Below are 24,082 nucleotides of genomic sequence, written 5' to 3'. Positions count from 1 at the left end.
TTAATCAATTACAAAGTACAAAATGAGGTTATTAAAAAATCCTGGTAACTAAAGGCAATTCTTTTTTTATGGTGTCCCCCCTTTTAAAAGGGAGGTCTTTACAAATTTAAAAGCAGAGGTCTACTTTATAAAACATATTTTAAAATAAACTGTTTTGCACTAAAAGGTCCACTAATATTTTTGCAGTTTTTTTTTTGTAAAATTAGAAAAGACTTATCTCCCAATACCCTTTTCCCAATATATTAAATTATAAACCTTGCCTATATCTTTGTTACAGCACTACTATCATCAATACTGTACTTAGAGCAACTTCTCTTTCAAATAGTTTTCCAAAGGATGAGTGTCTGCAGAGAAACTTTAAAAGAGGCCTCACAATGGCAAATCAGCTAATGGCAAATATTTCTTCCTCAAATGCAGTTAAAATGAAGGATTAAGAGATTTACTTATAACATTAATCAAAACATTTATTCATCATTGAAAAGTCCAGTCATTTTGCAAAGAAATTTTAAGGTGTTACTGATCATTTAACAAGCAATGAGTTTTCAACATAAAAATGTGTACTTTGGGCTGGGCACAGTGGCTAATGCCTGTAATCCCAGCACTTTGGGAGGCTGAGGGGGGCAGATCACTTGAACCTAGGAGTTCCAGACAAGCCTGGGCAACATGGCAAAACCCTGTCTCTACAAAATGTACAAAAATTAGCCAGGTGTGGTGGTGCACACTTGTAGTCCCAGCTACTCGGGAGGTTGAGGTTCGAGGATCATTTGAGCCCGGGAGATTGATGTTGCAGTGAGTCATGACTGTACCACATACTCCAGCCTGGGCAACAGAGCAAAACTCTGTCTCAAAAAAAAAAAAAAAAAAAAATTGGACTTTGAATTCTCCAATGACATTGGGACAATTCTTATCACTTAATCCTATTTCCAGAGTGTCATTACAACCACCACATCAGTAAGGTTTTATCTAATAAAAGGGGGAAGAGAAGAGGTGAAATTTTAATAGCTAACATTTATTGAATACCTATCATATGCCAGGCACTACGTGCAGTGTTTAACATACATTAAATTCTTACTCTCACAATAGCCCACAAGGCAAATATTACCCCTGTTTGACAGATGAGCAAAGAGATCAGAGAATGCAAGAGAGAGGAACTAGTACAGTAGGGAGAGACACAAGATCATAAAGAGTCAGTTCTGTGACTCAGCTCCATTAACTATCACCAGAACTCAACCAGGTTTGTCTTTGGACAACCGCTGCAACATATGTCTACAACTTCTTATTTGCAATTCTGAAGTTGAAAGGTAGAAAGCAAATTTAGGCAAACATATTTGGCAGCAAAACTTGACATGGGGCTGACATTAGTACTTTTAATTTATTCATCTTTGTGTGAATATTCATGTTTCCCCTGCATAATTGATTGTGGGGTACTGCCCCAGATCTCACTGGGAATATTACTATATGGGTCATACATTTTATTATCCCTCTAAAATCTGAAAATTCCTCAATTCTGAAACACAGCCAGCCCTGCCACTTTATATTAAGGGACTACGAACCTGAACTACCATTTTCAGCTTTCCAAATCAAATGGTTCAAATCGTGATAACGGAAAATGTCACAGGGGAGAAAACAAATGAACAAACAAAAAAACACCTTTGCTTGCTTTGTCTCCCTCCCCTGCACCCTGCTTAGCTGACAAGAAAGCTCAACAGCCTTTGCATTGTGCATAGACAGGAGGGTTCCTGGATATATATATATATTTTTGAGATGGAGTTTCGCTTCGCTCTTGTTGACCAGGCGGGATTGCAATGGCGCAATCTTGGCTCACTGCAACCTCCGCCTCTGGAGTTGAAGCGATTCTCCCTCCTCAGCCTCCCAAGTAGCTGGTATTACAGGCATGCGCCACCAGGCCTGGCTAATTTTTGTATTTTTAGTAGAGATGGGGTTTCACCATGTTGGTCAGGCTGGTCTTGAACTCCTGACCTCAGGTGATCCACCTGCCTCGGCCTCCCAAAGTGCTGGGATTACAGGCATGAGCCACTGTGCCTGTCCTGGAATATTTTTAAAACAGCATACAATCTGACCTACTGCTACCTTGATTATGAACAGGCACACATTCGGGACTTAGTTCATTTTTGTATAGCACACATAAGAAAAAAAAATCAGGGTAAAACTTGCTGCACACTACTGACATTTAACCCCTTTCTTAGCGGGCCTGCTTCTAATGGCTGAATGTGGCTAATGCTTAGAAGGGAACGCTCCCACAGGTAAAGGTTTCATCTTGGCTTTAGAATTGAGCTAAGTACCCTATTAGGTCTCAACAAATAAAAAGGGAGAGATAGTCTCGATGTCTATTACAAAAGAAGTCCTTAATACAGCCAGATTCCAGGGCTGAACATTACCTGACTCTCTCCCTCCAGGGAGAACAAAAAGATCAAGCAATCTGTAGACAGGAAGGGGCTTTAAGTTACATGCTGTCTGGCTATGCCTTCCAGAACAGCCTTCGCTTGCAACAGGGTAAAACAAAACTCACCCTGACTAATGGAAAGCATTACAGCGACACTGAATTTGTGGGTGCCTATTTAAAACTTCATAGATAGAGGCCTAAGATTTCACTGTGCAACACTCAAAAGGATTAATTTATTTAGATTCATTTATTAAAAAAAAAAAAGTTTCCTGCAGAAAGAAGATAAGAAAACATCCCCCAAAGTAGTGGACAAGCAGAATTCAAGGACAGGACAATGTGCCTCTTTTGACTGAATTCTATACCCTAGTGAGCTCCACCTGCTGACAGAACAAACCGGTTTTGCCAGTTGTGAAAGGAATGATCCTTTAAGAGGATTAGGAAATTCCTTACAATGTCAAGTTTCCTCTGGTTTGAAACTGTGTCAAATATCACTTGCTGTATCCTCAAAGGTGACAATGTGACTGTATCTTGATTTCTACTCCAATTAGATCAAAGGTAGGTAGCATTCTCCGAACTCAGGCTCCTAGAATCCTTAGCAGCCATGCTCCCAGATAGAATGAGATGTTGACAAGCAGAAGTTAAGTAAATGTAATCAGGAACATTCTAAGAGAAGGAGCTAATGTACATGGAGTTGTAAAGCCATGATGTGGGGATTTTGGATTGCTTTGAGGTTATATAAAACAGTATTTATTGTCTCAGAAACACACAAACATACCTACGTGGGCTTATGGATCTACATATACAATACTTTAAGGTAATGATCAAAATAGAGTTATGATGACACCAGAAGCCCTCCTATCCACAGTTTAGCATTTTGCTTTGGATAACCTCTGGGTCATTTAGCAATGGTACCATAATTCATGCCTGCAGATCAGCTGTTCATATGAAGCACTGAGGGAAGTGCTGGGCACTCAATAAATGTTTGTACATACAAAAGTGATGGTGGTCAGTCCAATGGGACAAGGGCTATATTTGAGATGAAGGTCTTAAATCTCAACAAAGTAAAGGGGTCTTTCAACACTTACTAAAAGTGTTGTGAGCTTCCACAGCTGGGAAACAACAGTACATAAATTTGCTCTTCCTCTCATACAATAGGCACTTTAACACAGAGTTAAGAAACAGACACTGCAGGCTCACGCCTGTAATCCCAGCACTTTGGGAGGCCGAGGCGGGTGGCTCATGAGGTCAGGAGATTGAGAGCATCCTGACTAACACGGTGAAACCCCGTCTCTACTAAAAATACAAAAAATTAGCCGGGCGTGGTGGCGGGCACCTGTAGTCCCAGCTACTCGGGAGGCTGAGGCAGGAGAATGGCGTGAACCCGGGAGGCTGAGCTTGCAGTGAGCCGAGATAGCGCCACTGCACTCCAGCCTGGGAGACGGAGCAAGACTCCGTCTCAAAAAAAAAAAAAAAAGTAGAAAGAAAGAAACAGACAGTGCAATCTGACTTAAACAGCCATAACTTCCTGGAAAGATGGACGATAAAGTCACAGCCCTGTACCAGAAGAAAGAGATGTGAATAACCAAGTTCTCAGTCTTCTTCAGAAGTTTTGCATTTTACCTCATCTTCCCTGGTATCATGGCCAGAAAGCGGCCACTGGGGTAGAACAAACGATGAGAACAACTCAATTCTTACATTCTTATGAAACCTCTACTATTGCCTAATTAAATTTAGAAATTTAAAATAGTCACTATGAGGTATTTCATTGTGCAACAGTTCTTGAAGTGTGGACTGTGAACTCTTGAGCATCTCTGAGAACCTTCTTGTGGGGAGTGATGGATCATGACATCAAAACTATCTTCAAAACACTATTAAGAGTCAATCTGGTATTTTCCACGGACATATGCACTCATGGTGAGTCAAACTGCTGGCACTTTTGCATGAATCAAGCAGTGGCTCCAAACTATACCAGCACTCCTTGCATTCTTTTTCTCCGCTATACACTCACCCCTTCCCCAAATAAAAACCCAGTTAAGAATGTCCTTGATGAAGCAGTAAAATATTAACTTGTATTAAATCTAGACACTTGAGTATATGCTTTTTAATATTCCATGTGATGAAATGCAGCGTATATATAAAGCATCTGTTGCCTACTAAAGTGCTTTATGATAGCTTTCTCAAGGAAAAGCACTTGTTCAACTGAGTTGCAAGATGAACTTTGTGTCTTTTTCATAGAAGACTGGCAGGCAGAGTAATTTCTCCTCAAACCCACCTACTTCCTAATCCCTAGATCCTGTGAATACGTAATGTTAATGGTAAAGGGGAGCATAGATTATAGAAGGACTTAAGATTGCCAATTAACAGATGGGGAGAGTAGCCAGGATTATCCAGATGGGCCCAATAACTGAAAGGTCCTTAAAAGTGGAAGAGGAAGACAAGATGATCATCAGAAAAAGACAACGGAGACAAAAGAGAAAAGACAATGGAGGCAGGGTCAAAGGGAGGCAACACTGCTGGCTTTGGAGATGGAGGAAGGGCCATGAGCCAAGGTGCACGGGCAGCCACCAGAAGTTGAAAAGGCCAAACACAGATTCACCCTTAGAGCCCCCGGAAAGGACACAGTTTGATTTTAGCCCAGTGACACCAATATTTAATTTTTAACTTACAGAACTGTAAAATAACAAATCTATGTTGTTTTAAGGCACTGAGTAGGAGTAATTTGTTACAGCAGCAATAAAAACCTAACTAAAATCACTATTTTCATATGAAAGAACAAACAAGAGACAAACTATAGTCATTCAGGCTTGTGTATTTGGGAGATATTGTCTTGAAAATATAAAGGGGAGCCTGTTACTTCAGGAAAAACAACTCACAGTATTTCCTGACATAATAGAATTTAAGCTCTAAAGCAAAATTTAAATTTTTGGAAACTTACACCTATCACCATGAGCCTAAGGGTTTCCCAACACTTAACTCTTTTTCTAATAAGATCAATGGAATATTTTCATTATTGTAAACTAAACAAACACTTATAAAATCTCCATAAGAGAACCAATTTTTCCAAATGACTGCTGTATGAAATTACAAAATCATGCATGAATAAAAGATTCATTCAAGGCCAGGCATGGTGGTTCATGCCTGTAATCCTAGCACTTTGGGAGGCCAAGGTGGGAGGATCACTTGAGGCCAGGAGTTCAAGACCAGCCAGAGCAACACAGTGAGACCCTGTCTCTGTAAAATTAAAAAATCAGGTGGGTATGGTGGCATGGGCTTGCAGTCCCAGGATTTGGAAGCTAAGGTGGGAGGATGGCTTAAGCCCAAGAGGGCAAGGCTATAGTGAGCCATGATTACATGATTGTGCCACTGCACTCCAGCCTGGGCAATAGAGTGCAACCCTGTCTCAAAAAAAATTAAAGAAAAAGGAAAAGAAAGATTCATTCAAAGTGCATGAAAGTCAATGAATTTTTCATTTAACAGAATGATTTCAGATTAACTCATGATTTCAGATTCCACATAGCTATCAACCTTTAAGAAACTACCATTTGTTGGCCAGGCATGGTGGCTCACGCCTGTCATCCCAGCACTTTGGGAGGCCGAGGTGTGCAAATCACAAGGTCAGGAGTTTGAGACCAGCCTGACTAACATGGTGAAATCCCGTCTCTACTAAAAATACAAAATTTAGCTGGGCGTGGTGGTGGGCGCCTGTAATCCCAGCTACTTAGGAGGCTGAGGCATGAGAATTGCTTGAACCTGGGAGGCAGAGGTTGCAGTGAGCCAAGATCGTGCCACTGCACTCCAGCCTGGGCGACAGAGTGAGACTCCATTTCAAAAGAAAAAAACACACACACAAAAACTACCACTTGTTGAGTTTTGGTGTTATATCAAAGGAAAATATCCACAATTATCTGAAAAGGCCGTATGAAAGTCCTTCTTTCTCCAAGTACATAAACTCTGTGAGGACAGATTTTCTTCATTTACTCCAACCAAAACAACATATTGCAGCAGACTGACAGCAGATGCACATATGTGAGTCCAAGTGCCTTCTATTAAGCCAGACATTAAAGAGATCTGCAAAAACGATACTTTCTTTGCACTAGTTTTTCATTTTAGAAAACTTTTTTCACAAACATGTTACTTATATTAACATGTAAAATGTAATCATTTTATTTAAAAATAACATTTTAAAATTTGTTTTGATTGTAATGTGGTAAACACACAAAAAAGTCTTATGAACAAAAGCTCTTTGGGATCTTTAACTTTTAAAAGGGTGAAGGGACTCTGAGACGTAAACATCTGAGAACTGTATTGCTATGCTTTCTTCTGGATTTCTCTAACGACTAAAAAAGTCATCTAACTTTTCCTATGTTCATTGTTTATTTTGATAACCTTTCTTCTGAAAATCAAGATTTTTCCCTTTGGCTGCTGTTAGGAGTTTCTCTGTATCACGGGTTTGAAACAATTTGATTATGATATCTGTTGGTGTCATTTTCTGCATGCTTCTTATTCTTAGGGCTCATTGAGTTTCTTGGGTCTGCTTGCATCATATGTGGAAAATCTGGAACTATTTCCTCAACTACTTTTTCAGGTAGTTCCTAACTCCTCTGGGGTCTCCAATTATATGAATATTAGGTCAGGTGAAGTTGTCTCACAGTATATTGATGTTGGGTTTTTTGTTTTTTTTTTTTTGGCAATTGTTTCTATTGCTATGTCATCAAGTTCACTAATCCTTTCTTCGACAATGTCTAATCTGCTGTTAATTCTGTCCAGTGTACTTTTCAACTCAGATATTGTAGCTTTCATATCCATAAATACAAAGCTTTTCTTTTTCCAGATTTCTACTTAATGTTCAATCTTTCCTCCTGCTTCTTAAACATTAAAAAGACATCAGAGTCATTTTTGTGGTTTTAATTGTTTAATTATTTTATCCCCTCCCCAACTATAGGTCATATGCTCCTGCTTGTAGTTTTTAATTAAATGATTGACTGTCAGACATTATGAATATTACCTTGTTGGGTGCTGGATATTGTTGTATTCCTATAAAGTATTTTTGACTTTGTTCTGGATTCATAGTTAAATTACTTGGCAAGAGTTTGAGCCTTGTAGTTCTTGCTTTTAAACTCTTGGTTGTACGACAGCAGTGTTTAGTCTAAGGATAATTCTGCCCCACTATTGAGGCAAAAGCATTGTGAGGCTCTACTCAATGCCATGTCAATTATGAAGTTTTCCAGTCTGGTTTGTAGGAGTTGAAACTATTCGCACCAGAGGTAGACTGTTTACGGCTCTCTCCTCCCTGATTCTCTGTGCTCTGCGAATTCTAGCCTCCCTGGACTCACATCTCAATCTCAATCAGGGAGGCTTCTGGCCTTTAACTGGGTACCCCCTGCCTGTACTGTAGCCTGGAAACTCTCTTCAGGCAGAAAGCTGGTGCAATCTTAGGGTTCACCTCATTTGTTTCCCATCTCCCAAGCAATCAATGTCCTTCAATGCCTGATGTCCAACATTATAAAAACCATTGTTTCATTGTTTTGTCTAGTTTTTAAGTTGTTTCAGGTGGAAAGTTAAATGCAGTCCCTCTTACTTAATCTTAGCAAGAAGCAGAAATTTGCCTTCAGTTTTTAAATCAACTTTATTGATGTATGATTTCTGAAGAGTAAATGCAAGGCGTATAATTTAATAACTTCTGACAAACCCCCAACACAATCAAAATACAGAACACTGCCATTACCCCAATAGCTCCTGGTTCCTCTTTGCAGTCCATCCCTGCATCATCTAACAGCTTCAGGCAACCACTGTACTAATTTTGTTTTTTTTACTATAAATTAGTTTTGCCTACATTTTAAAGAAAATTTTTGGTGTAAAATCCATTGTGAGGGTTACTCTTTCAGCACTTTAGAAATGTCTTCTGCCTTCTACTTTTTTTGTTTGTTTTTGAGACGGAGTCTCGCTCTATCACCCAGGCTGGAGTGCAGTGGCTCCATCTCGGCTCACTGCAAGCTCCGCCTCCCAGGTTCACACCATTCTCCTGCCTCAGCCTCCAGAGTAGCTGGTACTACAGGAACCTGCCACCACACCCAGCTAATTTTTTTGTGTTTTTAGTAGAGATGGGGCTTCACTGTATTAGCCAGGATGGTCTCGATCTCCTGACCTCGTGATCTGCCCGCCTCGGCCTCCCAAAGTGCTGGGATTACAGGCATGAGCCACCACGCCCGGCCTCTACTTTTTCTTTAGGCTTTATAGCCCAGCAAATGTTTAACAGTCTTGTTGTTCTTTAAAGGTATTTTTCCATCTGGCTATTTTTAAAGATTTTTCTCTTTTTCTTTTATTTTCAGCAATTTTTACTATGAGCCTATATTTGATTTTTTTTTTTTTTTTAGATTATCTTGTTTAGGGTGGACAGAACTCCTTGTTTTTATCTTAATGCTTGTCTTTCATCAGTTCTGGAAATCTCTACCAGCATTTCCTCAAATACTGCTTTTATTCCCAAATAATGCATAAATATCTTCTCTTCTGGAAATTCAATCATATATATATTTTGCTGTTACCCACATGCCTTTCAGACATTTTTCTGTATTTTTCTATGTTTTCTTGTCTCCGTTCTTTAGTTAAAATTTTTCTGGTAATCTGTCTTCATCAGTTCTCTCTCCTACTGTGTCCAGTATGTTCTTAAACATATCTACTTTTAAATGAGTCTAACTTTAGGGGTTTTTTAGTTTTAGAGTTTCAATATAGGCTGGGTGTGGTGGCTCATGCCTGTAATCCCAGCACTTTGGAAGGCCAAGGCAGGTGGATCACTTGAGGTCAGGAGTTCGAGACCAGCTTGGCCAACACAGTGAAACCCCGTTTCTACTAAAAATACAAAAGTTAGCCGGGCGTAGGGGCACACACTTGTAATCCCAGCTCTGCGGGAGGCTGAGGCACAAGAATCACTTAAACTCAGGAGGCGGAGGTTGCAGTGAGCCAAGACTGCACCACTGCACTCCAGCCTGGGCAATAGTGTGAGACTCCGTCTCAAAGAAGAAGAAAAAAAATGAATTTCAATATAATTGTTTTACAGATTTGAGTTCTCTAGTAAGCCTTGAATTCAATTTGTAACCTCCAAAGCCCTATACAAGCTCTGATTTGATCTGATCACTGAAAGCTCTGATCTGTCTCCTAACTTTTTATCTGCTGCTTTATGCTAGATGGAAAAGCCCCAAGATTCTTAACCTATCAGCAAATGTCTAAGAGAAAAAGCACTGTAAGATATTGTTAATCTTGATAGACTACAATTTCTCAAATTTTTTTTTTCTTTCTAGATCAAGCTCTTGGTGCCACATCTAAGAATTCTTAACCAAGCTGAAGGTCCCAAAGATTTTCTCCTATGTTTTTCTCAAAAAAATTTAATACTTGTAGATTTCAATCTATGATCCATTTGAATTAATTGTTGATGCTTAAAAGTCAAGGTTTAGGCCGGGGGCCTGGTGGCTCACACCTGTAATCCCAGCACTTTGGGAGGCTGAGGTGGGCAGATCACTTGAGATCAGGAGTTTGAGACCAGCTTGGCCAACATGGTGAAACCCCGTCTCTACTAAAAATACAAAAATTAGCCGGGTGTGGTGGTATGCACCTGTAATTCCAGCTACTCGGGAGACTGAGGCACGAGAATTGCTTGAATCTGGGAGGCGGAGGTTGCAGTAAGCCAAGATCATGCCACTGCACTCCAGCCTGGGCAACAGAGCAAGACTCAGTCTCAAAAAAACAAAAAAACAAAAAAACCCAAAAAGTCAAGGTTCATTATTTTGTTTATGGATGTCCAGTTGTCCCAGTACTGTTGGAAAAGCCTATCCTTCCTCCACTGAATTACTTTTACACCTATGCCAAAAATGAGCTAGATATATTTGTGTGGGGCTATTTCTGGTTTCTCTATTCTGTTCCACCGATCCACATGTCTATCTTTCCAGCAATGCCACACAGTCTTGACTACTGGAGCTATATAACATGTCTTGAAATCAGACAGAATAACTTCTCCCACATTAATTCCTCTTTCTCAGATTGTTTTAGGTATTCCAGTTCCTTTGTTTTTTCATGTAAACTTTAGAATAATCTTGTCTATAACCACAAAAAAACCTTGGCGGAATTTTGATAAAAATTAAGAAGTTAAACTTTGTATCAGTTTGGAGAACACTGACATGATTAATATATGTTAACGCTCTCAATTTGTGAATATAGTATGCCTCTCCATTTATTTAGGTCTTTGGTTTCTTAGAGACAGGACTTAATCTGTCACCCAGGCTAGAGTGTAGCAGGATGATCATAGCTCATGGCAGCCTTGAAATCCTGGGCTCAAGCGATCCTCCTGCCTTAGCCTCCTGAGTAGTTGGAGCTACAAATGCACACCACCATGCCTGGTTAAATTTTTAAAATTTTTTTGCAGAAACAGGATCTCACTATGTTGCCCAGGCTGGCCTTGAACTATTGGATTCAAGCAATCCTCCTTCCTTGGCCTCTCAAAACGCTAGGATTACAGAAGTGAGCCATCATGCCCAACATTAGGGTTTTGATTCGTTCATCAGGGTTTTGTAGTTTTCAAAATACAAGTCCTATTCATGTTTTGTTAGATGCATGCCCAAGCTTTTGTTTATGTTTTTAGATGACATCTCACTGTGTTGCCTGGGCTTGTCTTGAACTCCTAGGTTCAAGTGATCTTTCTGCTTCCTGACTATCTGGGATTATAGGCACAGGCTATCATGTTTGGCTCCAAGTTTTGTTTGTTTGTTTAGGGATTGCAAATGGTGTATTTTAATTTCAGTGTCCACATATTCACTGAAAGAAATCTAACTGATTTTTGTAAGTTGATGTTGAATCATACAAGCTTGCTAAACACATTTTGCAGTTCCAGGTTGTTTATCTATAGATTCCTTAGGGTTTTGCAAACAGACCAGCATGTCATCTGAAATAGGGAGTTTTATTTTTCCACTGCTGCGTCTACATGCCTTTTCTTTTACTTGCCTTACTGCACTGACTAGAACTTCTTGTACTATGTTGAATAGCAGTGTTAACAGCACATATCCTTCCCTTTCTCCAGTCTCTTACCATTAAGAATAATGCAAGCTATAGAAGTTTTGTAGATGTTCTTCATCAAGCTGAGAAAGTTCCTCTGTATTACTAGTTTTTATCATAAATAAGTTCAAATTTTATCAAATGCTTTTTCTGCACCAATTGATATTACCACGTGATTTTTCTTCTTTAGTCTGTTAGTACGATGGGCTACATTAATTGATTTTTCAATACTGAATCAGCCTTGCATCTCTAGAATAAATCCAACTAGGTCATGGTCTACAAAATTTTTTTCTACTTTATTATATTTGCTAATTTTTTTTTCAAGGAATTTTACATGTATATTCATGAGGGATGTGGTCAGTAGTTTTCTTTTTTCCTACCTTTGTCTGGCTTTGGTATTAGGGCTTCATAAAGTTAAATTTAAAATGTTTCTTATCTTGTATTTTCTGGAAGCAATTGTGCAGAACTGGTGATAATTCTTTAAATGTTAGGTAGACTTCCCAGGAAAACCATCTGGCCCAGTAGATTTCATTTTTGGAGTTTTAAAATTATGAATTCAATTTTTTTCAATAATCATAGGGCTATTCAAATATTCTGTTTCAGTTAGCTGAGTTGTGACTGTTTTCTGAGGAGTTCTCCCATTTCATCTTGTCAAAATTGTATGTATTCAGCTGTATACAGTATTTCTTTAATACATTGTTGCTATTGGGGGCGTTGGTGGTAATATCTAATTTCATTCCTGATAGAGTAGTACCCCTGTATTCATGAGGGATATGTTCCAAGACCTTCAGTGGATGCCTGAAACCATGGATAGTACCGAACCCTATATAACTATATACCATGTTTTTCCCTCTACCTAAAAATCTATGATAAAGTTCTTATTTTTTTTTTTTTAAGAGTCTCACTCTGTCAACCAGGCTGGAGTACAGTGGCTTGACCATGGTTCACTGAAGCCTCCAACTTCTGGACTTAATTGATCCTCCTGATTCAGCCTCTTAACTACAGACATGAGCCACCAAGCCTGGATACTTTTTTTTTAAATTTTTTGTAGAGACAGTGTCTCACTATGTTGCCCAGGCTAATGCTGACCTTCTGGCCTCAAATGATCCTCCCACCTCAGCCTCCTGAGTTGCTGAGATTATAGGTGTGTCACTGCGCCCAACTCGATAAAGTTTAATTTATAAATCAGACATAGTAAGAAATTAACAACTAGTTATAAAATAGAACGATTATGACAATACAATGTAATAAAAGTTAAGTGAATGTACAATGTACTCTCTCTCTCTCAAAATATCTTATTGTATTGTACTCTCCTATTTTTAGAGCACAGTTGACTGCAGAAAGCGAAACCATGAATACTGAGGGACTACCGTGTTGACAAGATTTGTATTGTCTGTTTTTCTTTGTCAGTCTTGTTAGAGGATTTTCAATTTTATCATCTTTTCAAAGATCTAGCGTGTGTGTGTGTGTGTGCACGCGTGCACACACAGGATCTGGGTTTTATGAAAAAAAAAAAATTTTTTTTTAAACCCCAAAGATGTAGCTGTTTTTTTTTTTTTTTTAAAGATGGAGTCTCATTCTGTCACTCAGGCTGGAGTGCAGTGGCGCCATCTCAGCTCACTGCGACCCCTGCCTCCCGGGTTCAAATAATTCTCCTGCCTCAGCCTCTTGAGTAGCTGAGATTACAGGCATGCACCACCATGCCCGGCTAATTTTTGTATGTTTAGTAGAGTCGTGGTTTCACCATGTTGGCCAGGCTGGTCTCAAGTGATCCACTCACCTGATCGCAAGTGATCTGCCCACCTCGGCCTCCCAAAGTGTTGGGATTATAGGCGTGAGCCACCTCGCCTGGCCAGATCTAGCCTTTCATTTCATTAATTTCCTCAAATGTTTTTCTATTTTTAATTTCATTGATTTCTGATCTATACCATTTCCTTCTTTCTAGTTGCTTTGGATTTATTTTGCTCTTCTCTTTCTAGTCATATAAGGTTATGAGCTTAGATTACTGGTTTGAGATGTTTTGTCTTTTCTAACGCAGCATTTCATACTGTCAATTTCCCCCTCAGCCTGCTTTAATTGCATCCCACAAAGTTTCATATGTTGTCTTTTCCTTTCCATTCAGTTTACATACATTTTTTCATTTCCCTTGAAGTGTTTTCTTTGACCTACTGGTTACTTAGAAATCTGTTTTTTTAGTTTCCAAGTGCTTAGAGATTTTTCCATTATGTTTCTGTTATTTCTAGTTTGATTCCAGTTTGATTAGAAAATATACTTTTTGTTATTTCACTTCTTTTAAATTTGAGGATGTTTATTTCATGGGACAGGATGTCTATCTTGGCATACATTCCATGTGCAACTGAAAAGAACATGTATTCTGCTGTTGTGAGTAAAGTGCTTTATGTCAATTAGATCCTATTGGTTGATGTTGTGAAGTTCTATGTCTTTGCTGATTTTCTGTCTAGTTTTCCTTTCCATTGTTGAAGGAGAGATGTTAAAATCACCAACTATAATTGTGTATTTACCTATTTCTCCTTTTAGTTTCATCAGTTTTTTTCCTTCACATTTACAGCTCTGTTTGATGCACATATACCTAGGATTGCTGTCTTCTTGGTGGATTGACCTCTTCATCATTATGCAATGATCCTCTCTGTCTCTGTTAACTTTCTTTGCTCTGAAGTTTACTTTACCTGACATTACTAAGCCCTATAGCTTTCCTTTGATTCATGTTTGCATGGTCTTTTTCCATTCTTTCCTTTCAACTACTTATATTTCAAGTAACTCTATAGTTTATATAATTAGATAATGCTTTTTAAAATCCAGTCTACCAATCTCTGTCCTTTAATTGGTATATTTAGATCTTTTGCTTTTAATGAACTAATTTCTGCATTAGAGTTTAAGTCTGTCATTTTATCTTTCATTTATTTTATCTTTCTGAGAATTACTTGAGTGCTCTTTAGAATTCTTTTCTGATTTATCTATAGGGCTTTTGAATGTATCTCTTAGAACTTAAGTATTATTAGTGATTGCTCTATGTATTACTATATATATCTTTATCTATGTAGTTGATATCTACATGCACCGTTTTACCAATTGAAGCGAAGTGTAGAAACTTTACCTCTCTTTAGTCTCTTTACTCTCTGCCATTTATAAAACACTTACATTAAAAAATTCTTGTACATATGTTTGAAAAGCACATTTGACATTGTTATAGCATTTGCTTCAAATGGCAAAATAATTTAGAAAACTCATTAAGAAAAGTATTTACCCATATTTTTACTCTTTCCTTCTCTCTGAAGTTCCAAGATCCCTTTTTTTCTGTTTGTTTGTTTGTTTTGAGATGGAGTTTCGCTTTTGTTGCCCAGGCTGGAGTGCAATGGCGTGATCTCAGCTTACTGCAATGTCCACCTCCTGGGTTCAAGTGATTATCTTGCCTCAGCCTCCCGAGTACCTGGGATTATAGGCACCCACCATCACACCTGGCTAATTTTTTGTATTTTTAGTAGAGACGGGGTTTCACCATGTTAGGCAGGCTGGTCTCGAACTCCTGATGTCAGGTGACCCACCCGCCTCGGCCTCTCAAAGTGCTGGGATTACAGGTGTGAGCCACCGTGCCCTCCCAAGATCCATTCTTTTATCACTTCCTTTCTGTTTAGATAACTTAGCTATTTTTTTTTTTTTGAGACGGAGTCTCACTCTGTTGCCCAGGCTGGAGTGCAGTGGCACGATCTCTGCTCACTGCAAGCTCCGCCTCCCAGGTACCCACCATTCTCCTGCCTCAGCCTCCTGAGTAGCTGGGACTACAGGCTCCTGCCACCACGCCTGGCTAATTTTTTGTATTTTTAGTAGAGATGGGGTTTCACCATGTTAGCCAGGATGGTCTTGATCTCCTGACCTTGTGATCCACCCTCCTAAGCCTCCCAAAGTGCTGGGATTACAGACGTGAGCCACCGCGCCCGGCCAACTTAGCTACTTTTTAAGGGTAGGTTTCCTGGTAACAAGTTCTCTTAATTTTCCTTTATCTGAGAATGTCTCAATTTCATTCCTGAAGGATATTCTCCCTGAACACAGAATTCTGGGTTGACAGTTCTTTTCTTCCATCTCCTGAAAAATTATCATGCCACTTCCTTCTGGCCTCCATGATTTCTGATAAAAAAAAAAAATCTGTGATTCAAATTGTTCTTCCCTTATAGGTGGGTTTTTTTTTTTTTTTTGAAATGGAGTTTTGTTCTTGTCACCCAGGCTGGAGTGCAGTGGCGTGATCTTGGCTCACTACAACCTCCGTCTCCTGGGTTCAAGCAATTCTCCTGCCTCAGCCTCCCGAGTAGCTGGGATTACAGGTGCCCGCCACCATGCCCAGCTGATTTTTTGTATTTTTAGTAGACACAGGGTTTCGCCATGTTGGGCAGTCTGGTCTCAAACTCCCAACCTCAGGTGATCCACCTGCCTCTGCCTCCCAAAGTGCTGGGATTACAGGCATGAGCCACCGTGCCCAGCCGTTCTTCCCTTATAGGTAACATGTCATTTATCTTTTGCTTCTTTCAAGTTTTTTTTTTTTTTGTATTTAGTGTTCAAAAATTTTACTATGATGTCTCTTGCTGTGGACTTCTTTGGATTTATACTGTTTGGGATTTGCTCAGTTTCTGTCATGTGTGGGTTTACACCTTTGACCAAATTTGGGAAACTTCTTACCAAATATTTCTTTGAATACTTTTTCAAGGCCTGCCATCTTTCTCCTCTTCTTCCAAGACACAATTGTTAAATATTTTATTATAGCCCCACAAACCGTGAAGCTCTGTTCATTTGTTTCCCCCAGTCTACTCTTTGTTGCTCAGATTTGGTGATTCCTATTTGTTTTATCTTCAAGTTCACTGATTTTTTCCTCTGTCCCTTCCATTTTGTCTCTGGGGACAGGGGCTTCTAGGGTGTCTAGCCCATTGAAGTACCTTACATTTCAGAATTTATAATTTTTGGTAGACTGCTAATGGCCCATATTCAGGGTCCACTAGCATCCTAAAAACCTATCTACTGAGTTTTACATTTTGACTGTTCTATTTTTCAGTTCTAACATTTCCATTTGTTCCTTAATACCTTCAATTTTTTGCTAAGACTTTCTATTTTTTCATTTTTAAAAATCATGCTTGTGGCTGGGTGCTGTGGCTCACGCCTGTAATCCCAGCACTTTGGGAAGCCTAGGCAGGAGGATCATGAGGTCAAGAGATCGAGACCATCCTAGCCAACATGGTGAAACCCCGTCTCTACTAAAAATACAAAAATTAGCTGGGCGTCTCTAATAAAAATACAAAAATACTAAAAATACACACATTACTCAGGAGGCTGAGGCAAGAGAATCGCTTGAACCCGGAGGGTGGAGGTTGCAGTGAGCCGAAATCAAGCCACTGCACTGCAGCCTGGCGACAGAGTGAGGCCCCATCTCCAAAGAACAGAACAGAACAGAACATAACATAACATAACATAACATAACATAACATAACATAACATAACAATCATGCTTGTAATTGCTCATTGAAACATTTTCATGATGGCTGTCAGAAAATCATTGTTAGATAATTCTAACAACTGTGTCATCTTAGTGTTGGCATGTGTTGATCAAATTTTCCCTTAAGTTGAGATTTTCCCAATTGTTGGTATAAGCAGTGATTTTAAATTCAATTTTGGACATTTTGGATATTAACTTACGAGACTCTGGATCTTATTTAAATCCTCTATTTAGCAGGCCTTCTTTATTACCATTCTGGTATGGAAAAAATGACACTGCTAGGTGGGGTTGAACATCAAGTTCCCTCCATGACACCTAAGGGAAAGCAACACCTCTGTATTGCTAGGCAGTGGCAACAATTCCAGCTCCCTGCTGAGTCTCTCCTGATACTGCCCTGGTTGGTATCAGGCATGCATGATTACTACTCCCCACGTGGCTTTCACTGACACTTTGGTAAGAAGACCCCGTTATTGCTGGGTGTGCAAAAATGTCCTGACTCTCCACCAGGCCTCTTCTGATGCCACACAGTGGGGAGCTGGAGGGGCACTTCATTACCACTCCACCGTGATGAAAGTTCCAGTTCCTCACTTAGCCTTCTCTAACAATGCCTCAGCAAGGATTAGGGAGGAGGGAAGGCTGTGGGTTTTTTGTTGTTGTTGTTGTTAGCTTCTTTTTGTACTGTGCAGTTGGAGTAGAGAGATTCCTGTTTTAAAGTTTTCTAAGTTTGTTTTTTTTGGTCCTTTTGCTAAAAAGAACAGACATTTGGGGGACATTTTGGCTGTGCCTATAGGCATTTCCAGTTTGCTGACTTCTTCAGCCCAAGACTGGGATATATGAGCAAAGAGAAAACCCAGGGACCTCACAGCTATGCCATTCCAGAGATCTCAAGGTCCCTAACCAGCCTGCTGCTTCTCTCCACCTTTCAGATTCATTTTATGTTTGTTTTATATATGTGTCCAAGGTTGTTGGCTGTACCTAGCAGGAAGAACGCAGAGAAATACATCTACTCCATCTTTCCAGAATCCAGAGTCCAAACTTAGTTTTAAAAATATTTTGTTCAATTTTCCTGGTTATTCTCAATGGATGGGCCGGTCTGCAATAAGCAACTTTGCCATTACTGAAAGTAAAGACCTTGGTCATTAAAATAAAACAAAAAAAATTGTTCTAATTCACATTATTTGCTTTGATTTGTTCTTCATATACATAACTCTCTTAACTACTTCCTGAAGATAAATTTCTATACTGTCCTCCAAAAAGAATGACAAAGAAACTGGAAAAATTCCGTATTGAGAGCAAAAAATGCCAGTTAGAAAATGTATATCCTCATTGGGAATTACTAACAAAAATCCAACTGTTTTAAAAAAATGACATATGGATACTAAATAGTAAAGTTGTAAAAAGAAAAAACCTGACAGATGCTTTCAAAATTATTTATATATAAGTACACAGACATATTCTAACCTATTTTTATCTTTGGCATAATGTAAAGGAAATAATCCACACACAATAATTTTACCTAATAATGTTATTGTGCAAAATTTCTCACAAAGATAAAAAGTTTCATATTGGGTATTAAGTTGATAATAAAGGTACCTGATTTTTTTGACATTGAGATGAATTTCAATTCTACAGAAAAAGTCTTCATTGCAGTACTGTTTGTAAGAGAAAAGGACTTAAATCTACACATACATGCCCATCAATAGAGAAACTGATGAAATAAACTATGGCACAGCAGTACAACAAAATACTATGCTACTATGCAGTAGTAAAAATACTGGGAAACCTTTCTATGTACTGACGAAAAAAATCTCAAAAATATATTCCTAAATGAAAAAAGCAAGTGTCTACAGCCTGTTATATCTTGTATAAGAAAGGGGTGAAATGCATGGAATACTATGCAGCCATAAAAAAGGATGAGTTCATGTCCTTTTCAGGGACATGGATGAAGCTGGAAACCATAATTCTCAGCAAACTATCACAAGGACAGAAAACCAAACACTGCATGTTCTCACTCATAGGTGGGAACTGAACAATGAGAACACATGGACACAAGGTGGGGAACATCACACACAGGCCTGTCAGGGGCTGGGGGGCTGGGGGAGGGATAGCATTGGGAGAAATGCCTAGTATAAATGACAAGTTGATAGGTGCAGCAAACCAACATGGCACATGTATACCTATGTAACAAACCTTCATGTTGTGCACATGTACCCTAGAACTTAAAGTATATATATATGTATATATATAATATATAAAAGAAAGGGGTGAAATAAAGCTGCATATGCATATTTGGTGGTATCTGCATAATGAAACAGAAATACAGAAACTGCATAATGAAACAGAAATACTACACCTTGTAGTTAATAAGGTGATTAACTACAAGGCAGGGGAGAAAAGGGTCATAGGAACAGGTAGAAATGGAACCCCTGAATGTAAACATAGTCATACTGCTTTGATTTTGGGACCATTTGAAACTATTGCCTAGTTTAGATAAATCCTATAGGAAAGAAATTGGTTTAACTTTTATTTTAAAGCTGAATTTAAAACACAATCCACAATTCAAAATCCAGAAGACAAATGTTTGCCACCAGTTCCTGCATCCTTCTGAATCGTGATCCAAGTCCTCACGTGTGATCTTAGTCTTGCTGTGTTCTCTCACTGCAAACTGCAGTCCTACCACAGCCGCATGTCTTCCAAATGCTAATGCTATCAGTCCCATTAATCACAAAATCTTCTCATTGGAAGGGACTCTATCCTGTCATCCAATCCAGCCTCAGCCAGGCAAAAGAACAGCGATAGGCCAGCACAGGGTGATCACTACTTGTGAACACACAAGACAAAGCTACAGATGCCACTGATTTCTTCCCCTGACTAGATGGCCATGGTGGATATCTCCTTCCTGAAAATGTACATACGGATCCACCAGTTGTCTGGAATCAATTTGGTAGCCATCTGAACTCTAAACATGCATTAGCTAATATCATAATCTAAGAGACGATTAAAATTCTAGGAATGGCAATTGTTCTGCCAAAGCTTCATTTAGAGAAAATCAGTTTTGGAAAAAATATTTCCCCTATGGATCATTTTTCAAAACTAGCTGCCTGAATCAAAGAGAAAATGGCTAGTCAAACTCATTTATCCTCACAATAAAATAACGCAGCAAGGCAATGAATAGGCGAAGTCAGCAGAGAATTTCATTCATGTCCTTAATCAAAGGGTCAGTGCTATTCATTACCACATAAACATTGCTCATTTCCTTATATCCATTCTTGAGATATTTATTGCAGAGTTAAATTAAATATGATCACTTTCTCCCTTACTCTGACTTTAATAACCTGAAGGATAACTTCTTAAAATTTGAAACTCAATAAATATTTTCATTTCACTGCATTTTTAATAATCTAGAAAAACAGTGAAGATTCATTTAGGCAAAGTCACTACCATTTACATGAAACCTGACATTTCCTAATGAAAACAGAACTACCAATTTTCTCTACTGCAAACTAGCAACTGTACCTTAAATATTTATAAACCAGACCCATTCCAATTTTATTTGGGTTTAACATATTACACTGAATACCGGGCACTGAAGTCTGCAGCAATATAATTCCAGTTTCTTCTTCCATTCATGGGGAGGGAAAAGAGGACAGGGTGGCTGATGTACTGGTTGAGAATGCAGGCTCTAGAGTCTGAGTGCCTGGATTCAAGACCAGCCTGCACAGACTCTAATTGTGACTGGTCTTTGTGTCTCAGTGCTCTTAGCTATAAAACAGGAACAATAATAGTATCAAAGCATTCTGAGGATTAATTAAAATAATTCATGGAAACTGTTTCACACAGTGCCTGGCCTAGTCACTGTCAATAAAAATCATCTACTTTTGGCCAAGAGCAGTGGCTCATGCCTGTAATCCCAGCACTTTGGGAGGCTGAGGCAGGCGGACCACGAGGTCAGGAGATCGAGATTATCCTGGCTAACACGGTGGAACCCCGTCTCTACTAAAAATACAAAAATTTAGCTGGGCGTGGTGGCGGGTGCCTGTAGTCCCAGCTACTTGGGAGGCTGAGGCAGGAGAATGGCGTGAACCTGGGAGGTGGAGCTTGCAGTGAGCCGAGATCGCACCACTGCATTCCAGCCTGGGCAACAGAGTGAGACTCCGTCTCAAAAAAAAAATCATCTACTTTTATTACTCCCTTACATGTGCCTCACACTCCTGCTCAGCGGGATTCCTTGCTGCCTCATGAACGCACTGTGTGCTTCTGTCCTTCCGAGTCTCGTTCTTATTGTTCTGAGTATGGACCACCCAACTGCTTATTCCCTGGCCTGATGAAATCTTCTTCCCCTCCAAGGCCCATCTCATTCTGATCCAGTTAACCATTATGACTTGTCCCCACTGGCTTGTACCTCCATGCTCTTTGTTTGCAATTCTCTTATTAGATTTATTATATTAACCCTGACATCCATTACAGTAATTTATGACCCTGTCTCCTTCATGGATAAGGACTATGTCTTACTAGCCTATTTTGTTCTCTACAGTATTTAACAACCTGCAGAGTCATACTTAAAAAGCATTTATTGGATTTGAAACAGTCCTGCTTACTTGTGAAAGTGAGCATAATGTATCAACTACAACAGAAGCTCTCTCATAGGATATGTATAAAGATTAAATGAGATAATGTATGTAAAGGGCTACTAACAAGTTATTATCTTATTATCAACAGCTCCTATTTCTTCAACGTTTTATCACATGCTCAGCACTGTACTAAGTGCTTTACATGTGGGAACGCCTTAAACCAGGGCTTGACATAATCATCTTTCATTCCCCTTGCACAGAGTAGATGAAATATAGGTATTTTTAAATGACTGTTGAAGAAAAATGGCTCTGATATGGCAAATTTAAAAGTATCTGAATTTTCTACATTATTTAAAAGCTGACTTGATTAAATAACAAAATTCCTAATACTTCACAGTGTAGTTTTTTAAATTATTTATTTTTTTAGAGACGGGGGTCTCATTATGTTGCCCAGGCTGGTCTCGAACTCCTGGGCTCAAGCAATCCTCCTGCCTCAGCTTCCCAAAGTGCTGGGATTATAGGTGTGAATCACATCACCCAGCCTACAGCATAGTTTTAAGCATCAGAATATTCCAATATTCTACACTGAATTCCTAGTTAGAAATTAAAAAAATAAAGATGACAGATTTTTAAAAAAGAAATTAAAAAGAAAGTAATTCGAGATATGTAAATGGGATCTTGGAAATCTTAAAATTGAAGAGCTGTATTATGCAAATTTATATCCAGTGCTCAGGGCTATTAAGGGATGACAGGTAAGAAAAACAGCTCTGGGAATTTCTGTATGCCTTAATCCCCTTGACTGTAAAATAGGCCAATAGTTGGAATCTATTGCACAGGGTTGCTGTGAGGATTAAATCAGATTATGCCAGTAAAGTGATTAGAACATAGTAAAATGAAATATGTATTTATTTCATTTGTTTTTATCATGAGATGCCCCCAACTGTACTGTAAGTGAAGATCAAGGTGCCTGACAGTAAGAACACAAATTTTCTAAAGCATCAAGTGTTATAAATTCTTATTGGTGTGAAAATATTAGGAGGTTAGTTTTGTCTTCTCATTGCCATTTTAACAACTGACATGGGCATCACTAAGTAGTGAAAGGCGGGCGTGGTGGCTCACATCTGTAATTCCAGCACTTTGGGAGGCCAAGGAGGGTGGATCACCTGATGTCAGGAGTTCGAGACCACCCTGGCCAATGTGATGAAACCCCATTTCTACTAAATATGCAAAAATTAGCCAGGAGTGGTGGTGCATCCCAGTAATCCCAGCTGAGGTGGAAGAACTGCTTGAGCCCGGGAGGCAGAGGCTGCAGTGAGCCGAGATCGCGCCACTGCACTCCAGCCTGGGTAACAGAAACAGAGACCCTGTCTCAAAAAAAAAAAAAAAAAAAAAAAAAAAAAAAAAAAAAAAAAAAGTAGTGAAAGTCCCAGAAAGGCATCAGGATGGAGAATGTAAAAGCTTGGATAAGCTAAAAAAATTAGTTCGTTTTCTAAAATAAGTTTCTTCAGGAATTGAAATGCATACTTCAGCTCCCACATATATATCACTGTCAAGTTAAATAAAAAAATTATTAGATTTTTGTGCAGTGCTTTCTTTTATATTTAATAGATAAAATTTTAATTTTTCTGTTCACTTTAGCTTTTGATAGTGGTAAAATGAGGAATTAAAGCACCAAAGATTTGAAAGGCAAAATGCCACAATATAGGAAATAAATTGTGTCTTCTTTTACAAAGCATGGTTATGTAAGACAGTTAATAAAAACATAAAATATATTAAAAGAATCATTTAAACCAAATATAAAAAGAGATTTAAAGCTCCTTCTGATGAGTCCAGTTTCCTTGTATCACACTATGAATCTCTTTAAATATAACGACACACAAAGCTGGAAATTTTAAAATATGACGACACAGATGGAAACTAAAAATGCTTTGCAATGATTCATATGCATAATCCACTGCACTTATAAGCATTTCCTTTTTAAAATCTGTATTTGTAAAGGCACCAAAATAATCAGTTTCTCAAAATAATTCCAAGGCATTAATGAGATTTCCTACCAAAAAAATTACTCCCAAGACTAAAAGCCTAAGTATGCATGTCGTCTGCTTTATCTCAGTACAATCCAGGCTTTGAATGCTGTATGTATGGAGATAAAAAAAAGACAGAGGCTAACCCCCGGTGCTCTTTAGTCCAGACATGGAGCTGTTCATATAGAATAGCATGCTTTGAACCTCTAGATTCCACTGTCTAGTAAAAAACTACTGTCTAATAGTAATACTCCTGTTGAACGGGATGACATATTTAAGGCACTTACTTTCAAAGTAAAATTGAAGAGACTGACTGATTGCCAAATTTTAATTTTGCCTAGTAAAGATATTAAAGAAAACAACTATCATATATTATGATTAATAATTTATGAAGGAAGGGACATTTTAATGCTTCCAAGAATAGGAAGGCCATAATTTCAAAATAATGGCCAGTTTTGTGAATTAAATAAACTTTGAGTTCAACTCTTTATAGTGTTCTTATCTTTCCCATGTGGATAGGACTATAAAATATTTATCACAGATCAGC

General features: G+C 38.7%; 1 protein-coding gene across 58 annotated transcripts in view; it reads right to left on the bottom strand.

Moving 5' to 3' along the window:
• The window catches only part of SIPA1L1 (signal induced proliferation associated 1 like 1), a 420,734-nt gene that overhangs the window by 91,153 nt on the left and 305,499 nt on the right, over positions 1 to 24,082 (bottom strand). The gene's annotated exons all lie outside the window — the stretch shown is intronic.

This window comes from Homo sapiens, chromosome 14 (assembly GCF_000001405.40).
Source record: "Homo sapiens chromosome 14, GRCh38.p14 Primary Assembly".
Taxonomy (NCBI): Eukaryota; Metazoa; Chordata; class Mammalia; order Primates; family Hominidae; genus Homo; species Homo sapiens.
The sequence above is the reverse complement of the archived record's forward strand: the minus strand, read 5'-3'. Positions and strand labels throughout refer to the sequence as shown.